The sequence below is a fragment of the Homo sapiens genome, chromosome 2 (assembly GCF_000001405.40).
Source record: "Homo sapiens chromosome 2, GRCh38.p14 Primary Assembly".
Classification (NCBI taxonomy): Eukaryota; Metazoa; Chordata; class Mammalia; order Primates; family Hominidae; genus Homo; species Homo sapiens.
This window is the reverse complement of record NC_000002.12, coordinates 234,442,804-234,456,586: the sequence shown is the minus strand read 5'-3', so window position 1 is coordinate 234,456,586 and position 13,783 is coordinate 234,442,804. Positions and strand designations below refer to the sequence as shown.

The 13,783-nt window shown below is 44.4% G+C and overlaps 1 long non-coding RNA gene and 1 pseudogene across 1 annotated transcript, besides 1 other annotated feature; both read left to right on the top strand.

Moving 5' to 3' along the window:
* On the top strand, positions 751–1,554 carry HSPE1P9 (heat shock protein family E (Hsp10) member 1 pseudogene 9; annotated as a pseudogene).
* Positions 1,992–11,997, top strand: LINC01891 (long intergenic non-protein coding RNA 1891). Its single transcript, NR_146988.1, has 3 exons — positions 1,992–2,102; positions 6,189–6,469; positions 11,852–11,997. It is a non-coding gene; the product is annotated as a long intergenic non-protein coding RNA 1891 (long non-coding RNA).
* Positions 10,161–10,210: an enhancer, noted in NCBI's record as "active region_17354". NCBI's record gives its function as "activates an Ori minimal core promoter by ATAC-STARR-seq in GM12878 lymphoblastoid cells {active_cell/tissue: GM12878}" and the evidence as "EXISTENCE:reporter gene assay evidence [ECO:0000049][PMID:35858748]".
* Positions 11,998–13,783: the final 1,786 nt, after the last annotated feature.

The following is a 13,783-nucleotide window of genomic DNA, read 5'->3' as shown; positions in this document are numbered from 1 at the left end:
CTCCTGTTAATCTGTCTACTGTAATGTTTATTTCAGAGACTCAAATCATCACACCTTCAGAGAGTGGAAGGAGAGTTCCCTTGACCCCTATACCAGCAGTCCTTGGCATTTCTTGGCTTGCAGCTGTATTGCTCCCCTCTCTGCCTCTGTCATCACATGGCTTTCTGTTCCATATTTCTGTGTTTCTGCGTTTCTATGTGTGTCTTCACATGGCCTCCTTAGAAGGACACCAGTCATTTAGATGGGGATCCACCCCAATCCAGTATGACCTCATCTTTGCTTGATTACATCTGCAAAGACCCTGTGTGCAAAGGCCAATTTCGAGGTCCCAGGTGGACATAAATTTTGAAGGAACATTATTCAACCTCGTAAAATGTTCGACACTCTCATAAGTGGGAGTTGAACAATGAGAACACATGAACACAGAGAGGGGAACATCACACCCCGGGGCCTGTCGGGGGGTGGGGGGCAAAGGGTGGGAGAGCATTAGGACAAATACCTAATGCATGTGGGGCTTAAAACCTAGATGACAGGTTGATAGGCACAGCAAACCACAATGGCACATGTATACCTATGTAACAAACCTGCACATTCTGCACAGGTATCCTAGAACCTAAAGTAAAATTTTTTTAAAAAAAAGTTCAACATTTCACTGTTTTTTTCTTTTTGTTTTGTTTTTTTTTAATAAGAGCTTTTATGGAACCAAAAAACCAAAGGAGGATGTCATTATAAATTAAGAATAGAGGGATCTCTCCTTGTGGTGCTGCACGAGAGCGGAGTATGAGTCTGCGGTTGAGGAAGTCATGGCAGGACAAGCATTTAGAAAGTTTCTTCTACTCTTTGACAGAGTATTTGTTGAAAGGATTGCCACCACAACTGTAACCAAAGGAGGCATTATGCTTCCAGAAAAATCTCAAGGAAAAGTATTGCAAGCAAAAGGAGTAGCTGTTGGATCAGGTTCTAAAGGAAAGGGTGGAGAGATTCAACCAGTTAGCATGAGAGTTGGAGATAAATTTCTTCTCCTAGAATATGGAGGCACCAGAGTAGTTCTAGATGACAAGGATTATTTCTTATTTAGAGACGGTGACATTCTGACTGGGCACTGTGGCTCACGCCTGTCATCCCAGCACTTTGGGAGGCCAAGGTGGGCGGATCACCTGAAGTCAAGAGTTTGAGCCCAGCCTGGCCAACATGGTGAAACCCCATCTTTACTAAAAATACAAAAATTAGCCGGGCGTGGTGGTGTGTGCCTATAACCCCACTACCCGGGAGGCTGAGACAGGAGAATGGCTTGAACCCAGGAGACGGAGGTTACAGTGAGCCAAGATCATGCCATTGCACTCCAGCCTGGGCGACAGAGTGAGACTCTTTCTCAAAATAATAAATACATAAAAAAGAGATGGTGCATTCTTGGGAAGTATGTAGACTGAAATAAGTTACTATTGAAATGACATCAACTTGAAGCTGCCCATTCCACTGAAGTTCTGAAATCTTTCATCATGTAAATAATTTCCAGATCTGTCTTTTTTAATAAACTAATGATAACTAATGACAAAAAGTAGAGAGCGTAGCTAAATCTATTCAGTCCATCCTCAATTCAAACTATCCCTCGTGCTTCTAGTTGTTCCTTTTGTCAATCTGTCCTGTTTTCATTACGTGTTGTTCTTCCTTACATTTTCTATTTCTTCTTTGAAATCGCTTTCATAACTTCAAACATACTTATTTTTTAATCTTTTAAGATAATTTTGTTACCTCAATATCTTGAATTGCTACAGGGGTATTATCAACCCAGGGCCAATTCATATGTTACAAGCTTAACTTAGAGTTTCCTGCCCCACGCAAGTAATTTAAATTCAGACTTTTTTTTTTTTTTCTTTTCTGAGACCTGGGTAGCAGCACGTCGATGGGTTGGTTTTGTTTCCTCTTCATTGAAGGTGGTGAGTTTCAAAGATATCAGCTTTATATAAAGCTCTCCGTTCCAACCCTACCCCAAACTTCCTCTCCTGTCTTCATGTGGATGCTAACTTAAAACTCTTATTTCTGGGTCAGATAACTCCCTGCTCTCAGCCCTGATGACTACACCTTTGACACACACTATATTGGTATGGCTTTTAATTTTCTCTTTGTTTCTAGCATTTGAGAATCTCTGTCTTTGTTAATTCAACTATGTATTTTTAAATAAACTTCATATTTTAGCTAACACTTGTAGATATTTGTAGCTGGGGAAAACTAACTTTAGTTGATTCTACTGAGTAGACAGGACTGGAAATCCATTCTCTGGGGTTTGTTAAAACCAAAGTAACTGGCTCTCCTGGATGCTAGCTCACTGTCCAAGTTGAATTTAGTGTCAATCATCCAGAAAATGTCCCGTTTTTCATGTGCGAAGTCTGCTTATAGTTAATAGACCAGCTTAGGTTCTTCATTTAGTTCAGTGAACTCTTCAAAATGTGGTTTCAATATTGAAATAAATGCATATCATTCTAATTTTACTCTTTTCTCTCTCTGCTAGGAAACTGGAGGGAGTAAATCCTACAGACAATAGACAAATGTTTGAAATACTTAGAACATGGTTTGTTTTTCTTTTTGTTTTTGTTCTGAAATGGAGTATTGCTCTGTTGCCCAGGCTGGAGTGCAGTGGTACGATCTTGGGTCGCCACAACCTCCACCTCCCAGGTTTCAGCAATTCTCCTGCCTCAGCCTCCCGAGTAGCTGGGACTACAGACACGTGCCACCATGCCTGGCTAATTTTTTGTATTTTTAGTAGAGACAGAGTTTCACTGTGTTGGCCAAGACAGTCTTGATCTTTTGACCTCATGATCTTCCCATCTTGGCCTCCCAAAGTGCTGGGATTACAGGCATGAGCCACTGTGCCCGGCCAGTTGTTTTAATTCTAGGTTCTGGATACATGGGAAGTGGAGGAAATGCTGGACAAGAAGGCACAGTTAGATGGTAGACCCACCTCTGTCAATAACCAGGCCCAGTTTTAACTCATTGTTTTTCAATTGTAAAATAAGAGTGTTGGACAAAATACCTTATAGGCTCCTTCTAGCTCTTAGGTGATTTATAAAGGTTTGGGGTGAGGGTAAACTGGGCGGTTAAAGTCTGTGTAATCTGAAAGCCATGCAGGGGCTCTGACGGGCTTACCCCTGTCCCTGCAGCCAAGTCCTGACGTGCTACTTTCCCAGGGCTTGGTTCTTGCCTGTTTCTCTTGAGGCTGCCTTGGCATTCACCCACGCTCTTGGTTGTTATTTTTTACTCTCTGCCCCTGTGAAAATACACCTGCTCTCGTGGCTTCACTGGCCACTTTCTCAATCCTGGCTGTCTTCTTTATGTTCTTGTTCCCTGTATCCTATGGGTCTGTTTCTTTCTGACTACTCACCATGAGGGCAAGAGATTCCAAATATCTACAAAATTCCTCACATTCCTGAAGAAACCCTCCCAGTCTTTCCCTAGTGTCCTGTCTCTGAGGATACCACCTTGCTTGGTGAGAACTTTCATAGATCTAGCCTCTTCATTTACCAACTCCTACCAAGCCACTTTTCTTGTGAAATGTCCCATATGCACATTTTGTGCATTCAATAAATAGCTTTTGAGTTAGGCCAGGCACTGTATTGGACATGGATTAAACATAAAATAAAGAAAGCAGATCTCGGCCAGACACAATGGCACATGCCTGTAATCCTAGCAGGTGTATCACCTAAGGTCAGGAGTTCCAGACCAGCCTGGTCAACATGGTGAAACCCAGCCTCTACTAAAAATACAAAAAAATTAGCCAGGCATGGTGGTGGGTGACTGTAGTCTCAGCTACTCGGGAGGATGAGGCAGGAGAATTGCTTGAAACCCAGAAGGCAGGGGTTGCAGTGAGCCAAGATCGTGCCACTGCACTCCAGCCTGGGCGACAGAGCAAGACTCCGTCTCAAAAAGAAAAAAAAAAAAAAGAAAACAAATCTCTGTCTTCATGAAGGTTGAGGTAGAAAAGGAGCAGGCAAACAAGCTTATCATGGCTCACGATAAGAAAAAAAAAACAGGTGTGGTAGTGAGTAACAGGGCTGGTTATTTTTGGTCAGTTACTTAAGGGGTCTCTGCAGAGAGCTGAGGTCTAAGAGGTAAGAAGAGAGTTCCAGTTACAGGTGCATCAATAAAGCCTACACACACACACACACTCTCTCTCTCTCTCTCTCTCACACACACACACAAAGATATTTGCTGATTCATGAATTGAAATAAGCAGCAGTTGACATTGAGTCTACAGCCAAAAAAAGAAAAAAAAGTAACAGTAAGACTTTGCAACTAGCTTTGCCAAAGGTAGAGAACATTCTGATTCTAGGTGATGGATCAGACCTGGTTCTAGGAGTAGAAAAATTCTTCAAGAAGAATAAGAGCGATTGATCCATTATGGGGGATTAAATGCCCTCTTGGGAACATTAAGCACTATATGTCGTGATTTTATAATCATCCCCCAAGCTTCCATCTGTAGTTCAACCTTTGAGTGAGCTCCAGCTGAAGGGTGGTTCAGTTCTCAGGCAAATACTATGAATCATAAGAGATAAGTTCACCCTCATCCTGGTGCAAATAGTTTTCTTATGAGTTAGGATTTGAGGAGCTAGCTTTCTCAGGGCCTGCTTATCCTTGTATTTTGGGTTTGATTTGTAAATCCTGAGATTATATTTTTCAAGCGATCCCTTTGGAATGAACACTTGGGTCCCCTGGAAGCTGAAAAGCATAGCACAAAACTCAACATCACTTAACAGGCTGTTTGGTTCTCAATCCCCACCTTCACTCTCCTCCCAGTTGTGTTTACCTGAAGAACAACAGAGCCCAGGAGGAGGCGGCAGCCAAAGACCTTTCTTCCAGGATTTTTATCAGGTCCCAGAAATGTTCTAGAAACCAAGGACACCCAAATCCATGCAAGGAAGCCAATTATGCTCAAGGAAAACCAGAACAAGACAGGGACCCTGCTCTACAGGCCATTAGCAGGTCACAGCAAATATCAAGACAATAGCATGAAGTGATTCAAGAATTTCAACTGGCCTTCCCTGCAAGCCCTTAACAGGGAAACCCAATATAGGGACCACCAGAGCTCTGCCCTCTTGCTGTTGACTGCACCATGTAAGAGCTAATTAGATTCTGCTTCCTCTGTGGTTGGTGTTATCTGTAAAGAATGAGCAGAACATTGGCGCTAGTGCCATTCAATCCATTATGAGTTCCACAGTTTGGCCATGAACAATGGTGGCTGAAATGGCATGCAGATGCAAAAAGCTAGGACCTGGAGGCCGAGGCAGCCCTGTGAGACTGGGTGCTGCTGGGCCATCCCTAAGAAAGGCCATGTGGAGAACCTTTCTGAGGAAAGAAAAGCTAGAAATCCGAAGGCCATTAGGTGCCCAAGTCTTAGATAATGTGAAGGCATGAACATGGGGTTGCAGATGATGGCGCCATCAAAGTAAACTAGTCAGCCTCTTGGGTGGCGTAGTGAAGCTTTAAGACATCATGCAGCCAACAGCAGGTGCCTGAGTGCAGTGTTTACAGGAAGAAAATCCATTCACCTATTTTATTCAGACTCCAAAGACGAGTCTATGTAATTAAGAGACTGAGAATTACACTAGGGACCTCCTATAGACATGTTTGTGAGAGGCTGCCCAAAGCCAATTAGCATAATAAATCAGACGTGCAGGAACAGTGAGCTCACATGTGTACATGTTTGTCAAAGAGGATCATGGTGGTCTTTCATCTTTCAATCCTATTCAGATCTTGGGCAAGTAAAAAGTCAACTAGAATTTTTTTTCTTAAATATACGTGTACATATGCATTAGAAAGGTAAAAATAAATCCTATAAAATGTACTTTTTATTCTCTCTCTTTCAAGAATTAAACTTACCACATATAAAAACAAGTTTTGGGCAGGGGGGTGTGGGTTGTATCTTTTTGGTTTTTGTTCTCAAAACCCAAGCAAACATCAGACTATGAAAAAGGAATTCAAACAGAGTTAGTTTCCATTCCTTCACCCACAGTGCACCAACTTTCTCCCCCAAGACTCACCTCTCTCTTAGCCAGGCACTGAAAAGACAAGAACTCTGCCTTCAGGTCTTCTCTGGGGATATGGGAAATGGCAGCAGAGCACCCTGGGCTCAGAAATCAGTCATGGCACCCGGCACCTGCGTGCCCTCACCAAATTCAACCTGTCCTCCCCAGCTCCATTGTCAGCCACTCTCCCTCCCACTGCCCTGAAGATGGAAATGTACCCAACCTTCAAGCCCCTGTCGGTCCAGCTCGCGAAGTTTCCGGCTGAAGATTCATTATCAGATGGATGAGATGTTCATCTCCACTTACACAGCCTACGGCTTGTGTGTGGAGAAAGATGTTGAGCCAACAAAATGATCTGCAACACAAAATTCTACTCTCCTCTTCACTCTTTATTGCTAAAGCACTTATTTCACTGGTTTCAAGCTGCTTTAAAAGGAGTGAATATGCAGGTAAGGAGATTGGACCGGGTTGGAGTGTCTGTCCCTGCAGCTGGGTCCTCCAGGCATGGACACATGTTTGTAAGATTAAAAAGACCATTGCAAGGCCAGGCATGGTGGCTCATGCCTGAAATCACAGCACTTTGGGAGGCTGAGACAAATGGATCGCTTGAGGTCAGGAGTTCAAGACCAGCCTGGCCAACATGGTGAAACCCCACCTCTACTAAAATACAATAATTAGCTGGGCATGGTGGCAGGTGCCCGTAATCCCAGCTACTTGAGAGGCTGAGACAGGAGAATCGCTTGAACCAGGAGACGGAGGTTGCAGTGAGCCGGGATCGCACCACTACACTCCAGCCTGGGCCACAGAGCAAGACTCTGTCTCAAAAAAAAAAAAAAAAAATGATGATGTTGCAGTTCCCAGATATGAGTCCGCAACATGCTCTTGCTATAACCCATTGGATTAAAAAGAGTCCTTCCCTTTGGACTGTGGGTCCAAAGCTTTGCCCCATTTTTCTCTTTCCATTGCTACTATTCAAATCCTGAATGGCAGTTTCTTGAGAGGTTAATTGGTAGTAGGCCAGCATTAAAAAAGTCAGAGGGGGCAGGAGTCCTGTGGTCATGGATTTCTGAAAAGCCATATTAACATATTAACAAAGTTAGATGCCTGTCTTTATTGCAGAGCTCGGGAGCCTTTTCTACGCTCAGGTCTTTTCAAATCCCCAGTGGAACTCTGCTGCGGTTTTTCTCAGTTTGACCTCAGCGCCTTTTGTTTCCTGTGGAATGTCATGGGATTAGCATTCCTGGCGGTACTTAGGGAGACATGTTTTCTAGCAGTCTGGGTCCCAGAAGGGCAAGTCAAGTAATCAATCAACAAGAAAGTACACAAATATGTTGCATGTCAAGTTATCATCAATTTTAAAATATTATTGATGACATTTTTAATCAGTTTATTTATTTGTACTAAACCTATTTCTACTTACAGAACTCCTCAATTCCCACTAGCCCCATTTCAAGTGCTCAGGAGCTCCATGGAGCTCCCTCGCAGCTCGATTGGACGTGCAGAGCTTGATGAAGCGGATAAAAGACACTCAGGTTTAGACCCTTGGAGGGAGAGAACACAGAGGGCTTTGTGACCTTTTAATGAGGCACAAAAACACCCCTGAGACTTTCCTTTTCCCACCCCTTCTCTATTAATCCTCTTCAACAACATGAATTTCCACAGTGAGTTGAGGGTTTACCCCTACCTGCCTCAAAGGAATTTTGAAAAGATTAAAAAAAAAAAAAAAGAAAGAAAGGAAAACAGAGCTTTGGCTCAGCACTCAGGACCCATCCGAGGTGGTCGCAATTAAAAACAAAAGCAGCCACTGTGATTGGTCTCACTTGTACCGTAGTAACATGTGATCTATTTCAGCAGCAGCCATAGCGTTTGTTTTGGAGACTTCAGTCAGAAAATAAACGTAACGCATGTGTGAAAAGAAAGAAGTGTGTGGAACTCGGAGAAAGTCTTATCTTCTGAACACGAGTGCCCGAGGACAGAAGCCCCCATCTTTTAACAAAGAAAAGTCCATTGTTCATCATTTTGTGAAATGTGAAAACTAACATGATAAACAATGATTCATTTTAATGGACTGAAAAATAACTTGCATAGACACTGGAGGCCAAGAAAAGAAAAAAAAAAAAAGAAAGAAAAGAAAAAGCATTATCCTTTTATCCATTTAAAGAAAAAAAAGCAAAATACATCCTATTATCAGCTCTCAATAGATGAACAGGCACTAAGCAGAAGCTTCGGGAAGGCTGCTGTTTCAGAAAAACTTAACAGGTTTTTGAAAAGAAGAATTCCAACCCCCTGAACTCCCACCCTCTTGTGCACACAACTGGAAGAATGGCACACCCAGATCTGATGGTGATAACTTTTATTTGCAAAGAGATGGGTTAGGAACGGCCAGCGGTTGGGGGCAGATTGGAGATGGGAGGAGAGCTCATCAAAGGGCTTCAGTTAGTTGTAGGTAAACAGGCCTTGTCCCCTGACACTGTTCTTTTCCTTGCAACCCATCAAAAGATGTATCTGAATGGTGACTGGACCCAGGGGTGCTGGGGCGAGGGTGTCAGGAAGCCGCTTTCAGGAATCAGCCATCCTACTGCTCTTCCTGTAAGGATTTCTGTTGCTCTTTAAATCAGTAAGTGGAGACTAGGGCATTCTAATGTTGCAAACATTAAACAGTCAAGCTACCACTTAAATTTTCTGCTGCAAAAGAAATTTCAACCACTGACTAGTTAAGGGGAAGGATCTCCCCTACCCTATAATTCCCATGGCTAAAACGCTTGACATTTCTTATTTCAGACTGGAAGATTCTGTAGGCTGTCCGATTTAGGTAAATGGCGCTGTCTTTGGCTTTCGTTATGATGCTCAGAAGTGAGAGCTGCTGCAGTTTGACCCCCTCTCCCTGGCTGTGGGCTTTGCTGTGACACAAGGTAAAGTGAGGAGTCAGTGCTGCCCTGGGACCCAGCCCAAGCATATGGCTACACTGTGGCTTAGTGTCCGGGGGCTGCTTTAACAAATGACCGCAAACTGGGTGTCTTCAAACAACAGAAGCTCTTCTCCTGGAGTTCTGAAGGCCAGAAGTCCAAAATCAAGGTGTGGGCAGGCTAGGTTCCTTCCAAAAGCTCTGGGAGAATGTTCCGGCTCTCTCCTGGCTTCTGGCAGTGCCAGGATTCCTTGGCTGTCTTTGGTTCCTAGATGCTGCACTCCAGTCTCTGTCTCCGTGGTCACATGGTATCCTCTCCGTGCCTCCCTGCGGCTTCATGTGGTCTTCTTATAAGGACACCAGTCACTGGATTTAGGACCCACCCTAAATCCAGGAGGACTTCATCTATGAGAATGGCATACACAAAGAGCCTATTTCCAAATAAGTTCACATTCTGAGGTTCTGGGTGGACAGGTATTTGTTAGGACACTATTTAGCCTAGTCCATCCTCATTCTTCTACTCCAAGATGAAATTTTCCTAAACTTCTAATAGCTATTTTTATCACTGCAGATTTTATTACCTTGACAAAAAAAAAACAAAAAAAACTCCGCTAAACTTTTCACTGCTTTTGAAAAGCATTGCCTGTGGCTCAGGGAGAAAGCTAGAAGAACATGAAGCAAGCAGCTGCATGACACGTCCACGGGACAGGCCTGGGCATGGAGCGAGGGCTCCAGAGACAGGAGGGAAGGGAGAGCTGACCTCGCCTGCCTTCGGTGGAAGGAGGAGGTGGGAGGCACACAGGGAGTGCCCGGGAGCCAGGTAGGCCTGGACTTGGATCCTGGGGGGTGTGAGGAGACCGAGGCAACCAGAAGGCGTCTCAGAGACAAGACCAAGGGCAAACTACGTGGAAGCTCTCAAGGCCATGTGCCGCCAGGAGCGTCACCTTCCCAGGAGCGTCACTAGACTCTGCTCTGCAGGGCTTTGGTTTAGTGCAGGGGCAGAGGGCTGGGTGGAGACAGGAAGCTTCAGAGCCACTCCACACCCACAAGGCCAGCCTCACTTCCTCACTCCTGACCCGTAGCTTGAGGCTGCCGGATCATCAGCCCTTCTGGGCCAGCAGTGTGTCTTGCTCTGCCTTTGCAGCTGCGTAAAGAGCGTGAGAAGCCACAGTAAATGGTAACTTAAACAGAAAGAGGAAGTCCCGGAAGATGGGCATGCTCTTTAAAGGAACATGAAGGAAGAGCCCACATAACCCCTGACAAAGACTCTCTCCTTGACCAAACTTTAGTCAGACTCCTCCAAGCCCTCAACCTTGGTCCCTGTCCTTGCTGGGCCTGCAAAGCTCAGTTTCAACAGGGATCCTGCTGTCAGTTTATTGAGAACCCTTGATCCTCGATATCAGATCACCCTGGCCTACCTTCAACAAGAATCCTTGTTGAAACCTGGATCAGTTTAGCAAGAAGCCCGACCCTGAAATCATCTTCATCTGGTGAAACCCCTCAACCTGCTGTAAATATCCCCTTGTTCTTTTTTTTTCTTAATTTTAATTTTATAATTTTTTTGGTAAGGAGTCTCACTCTGTGACTAGGCTGGAGTGCAATGGTCCAATCTTGGCTCACTGCAACTTCCACTTCTTAGGTTCAAGTGATTCTTCTGCCTCAGCCTCCCTAGTAGCTGGGACTACTACAAGCACCTGCCACCACCCCTGGCTAATTTTGTATTTTTGGTAGAGACGGTGTTTTGCCATGTTGGCCAGGCTGGTCTTGAACTCCTGACCTCAAGTGATCCGCCCGCCTCAGCCTCCCAAAGTGCTGGGATTACAGGTTTCAGCCACCATGTCTGGTGCCTTGTTCTTGTATTGGGAGTTGAGCCTGATCTCTCTGCCCTGTTGTGACACTGTGGACACCAATTGCAATTGTCCTGAATAAAGTCTTACCATTTTAGAAAGTATCGACCGGGCGCGGTGGCTCATGCCTGTAATCCCAGCACTCTGGAAGGCCAAGGTGGGCGGATCACCTGAGGTCAGAAGTTCAAGACCAGCCTGGCCATGGTGAAACCCCATCTCTACTAAAAATACAAAAAATTAGCCGGGCGTGGTGGTGCGCACCTGTAATCTCAGCTACTTGGGAGGCTGAGGAGGCAGGAGAATTGCTTGAACCTGGGAGGTGGAGGTTGCAGTGAGCCAGGATCATGCCATTGCACTCCAGCCTGGGCAACAAGGGCAAAACTCCGTCTTGAAAAAATAAAAAATAAAAAATAAAAGTATCAGAATAATTTTTTGTTTTACACCCTCCCCAGCCCCACCCCCTGTCAGGGAACATTTAAGTACAGAACTTAGAACTCCATACTAGACAAGCCTTCTCTTCCGTATAGAGAACTTCTGTCCTTGGCCACACTCTGGTGAGGTCTGTAAGTCCTGCCCCCGTTCCCGGACCCGCAGCCTTCTGTGGAAAGCCCCCACTCGTAGGTCGCCACAGCAGAAGCAATGGAGGAAGGAAGCCTGGCTGGCTGGTTCAGCACGTGGTCGACTGAGGTCTCATTTCCTTTTCATTTTCTTTCCAGTGCTCCTTTCAAAATCATATCTCTCTCCTTTAGAACACAACTTCTTTTTTTAACCCTAAGTCTAACGTGGAAAGAATTTGTTTAGTTTGCAGTGGTGCTGTGGCATGAACCTTCTGTGGGGTGATTCACATACCCCGGGCTGCTGACTTGCATGGGGCAGGGACAGGGAATGTTAGCTGGGGGAGCTTGCTTGCATGTTTTCATCGTAATGAGATGTAATAAAAAGGCAATATATCAGAATGTAAACTCTCAATATCAGTCTTTAATTCAGCAGTTTTTTTCTATAATAAAGTATATCCATGTTTGTTAACAGGAGGAGGTGGAAAAACATAAAGCACGTGCAAGTAAATGTTTAAATTACAGGTGAAACCACCTAGAGAAGCACTGCCCTAACATGCTTAAGGATGCTTGAGAAAGCCCTGAGCCTACAAAAAGGCGTAAGACCGTGGCAAGAATGAAGGAGTCAAGCAATGTGAAAAGCTCCTGAAGCCCAAGGTTCTCTTCCCCAGTTTTGAGTCATCTTAATATAGAGGACTGGGCTTGAGGACATTCCGTGAAATCTTGACTTACTGTGTTCTGTGTCTCAAAGCTCAATGTGAAGCAGATCTTACTTGCACTTCTAAAAGGAGGCATGTTGATGCAATGGAAAAAGATCTGATGCAGTAAGACTCAGAGCCCTAAGATTCTCTCTGTCACTAACTGCCACTACAAGCTTTTGTGAGGATGGAAAGGTCTTTGCAGGGTGCCTGTACACAGAAAGTGTCTCTGATAGGAAAGAACATGTTGTTGGAGCTTACCATTCTAGTGCAGCTTCCCTAACAGCAGCACCAGTGGGACCATCTGTCCAGATGCCCGGCCCTGTCCTTCTGAACATCCTAGATTCTTTGCACCCTCCAATCAATGTCCCATGAGTTGCTTTCCTGCTAAAGTTAGCCCAAGATGATTTCCCTTGCTTGCAACCTAAGAGTCTTGCCTTGGTCAGTTGCTGTATTTGCTCCCTGTGGCTGCTGTAACAAATCACCATCAACTTGGCAGCTAAAAAGCAACAAAACTTTCTTCTCTCACAGTCTGGAGGCCAAATATCCAAAATCAGTTTCACTGGGCCAAAATTAAGGTGTGGGTTGGGCAGGGCTCCCTCCTGATGATCTAGGGGAGAATGCATCCCTTGCTTCCTTCAGGTCCCGGGGGCTGCTGCATCCCTTGGCTTGTGACAACATCACTCCAATCTCTGCCTGTGTGGTCACGTCACCTTCTCCTCTCCAGTATGTGTTGACTCTCCTTCTGTCACTCTTTTATAAGGCCCTCTGTGATTACATTTAGGGAGTACCAGGCTAACTCAGGATAATCTCCCCATCTCAAAATCCTTAACCTAATCACACCTGCAAAGACCCATTTTCCATATAAGGTAACATTTATGGGACACAGGAGTTAGTACCTGGTATCTCTGGAGGTCGTTATTCAGCCTACTATAGTTGTCAGTTATGGAGTTTGCTTTTACAGCCTATATTTGCTGTGTTTTTTGATGATGACGCTTACAAGGCTCACTGTCTCAATATGGTGGGACCTGCAGGTACTAATGGCTATGACATCTGGACAGGAGACAAACAACAACAAGAATAAGTTTGCAGGAACCTGGAGCCACTGGCATCTGCTTGTTCTTCCTCGCCTTTTGCTGCTTATGGGTTGTTGCCTTGGCAGAGCCATGGCTAGAGGTTTAGAGTAACTCGTACACTTTTGACAAGAAAAGGTTTTGACCCTCATAGGGGAAAAAACCACAGCTCTTGTGTAGTTATTCCCATAGCTAATTTGAATACAATACGTCAAGAAACATGGCCCAAAACCTTTCCTATCAAAAGCATTTAGGTTATTATTCTTAAATGGTTTTGATGATTGTATATTTTACCGTGGAATCGTAACTATGCATTATTTAGATACATATTTCTGCTAAATTCCATTCTCTCTCTCCCTTAAAACTGTGAATGCATTTGGTGTTTAAGAACACATGCGTGCTCCTTAACCACAGGGGCATACGCTCAAGCCGCCCCAACAAACGCTGCTATTATTGAAATGGGTGCTCCAGAGTTAGAAAGTAGTTTTTATTTCTTCTAGGTGTTATGCAGACTTATGGTAATCATACCTTGTACTGTTAACCTTTGTATGTAATAGTAGCATTTGTTCCTATCTATTGAAACACTACTATGTCTGTGTAACATGCATTAAATAAAAATGGAATGTTGGTAATTTTCAGCTCCTTTACTTCCTGCCAGCTCTCCCTTTAGAAAGCTAACTGGAAGA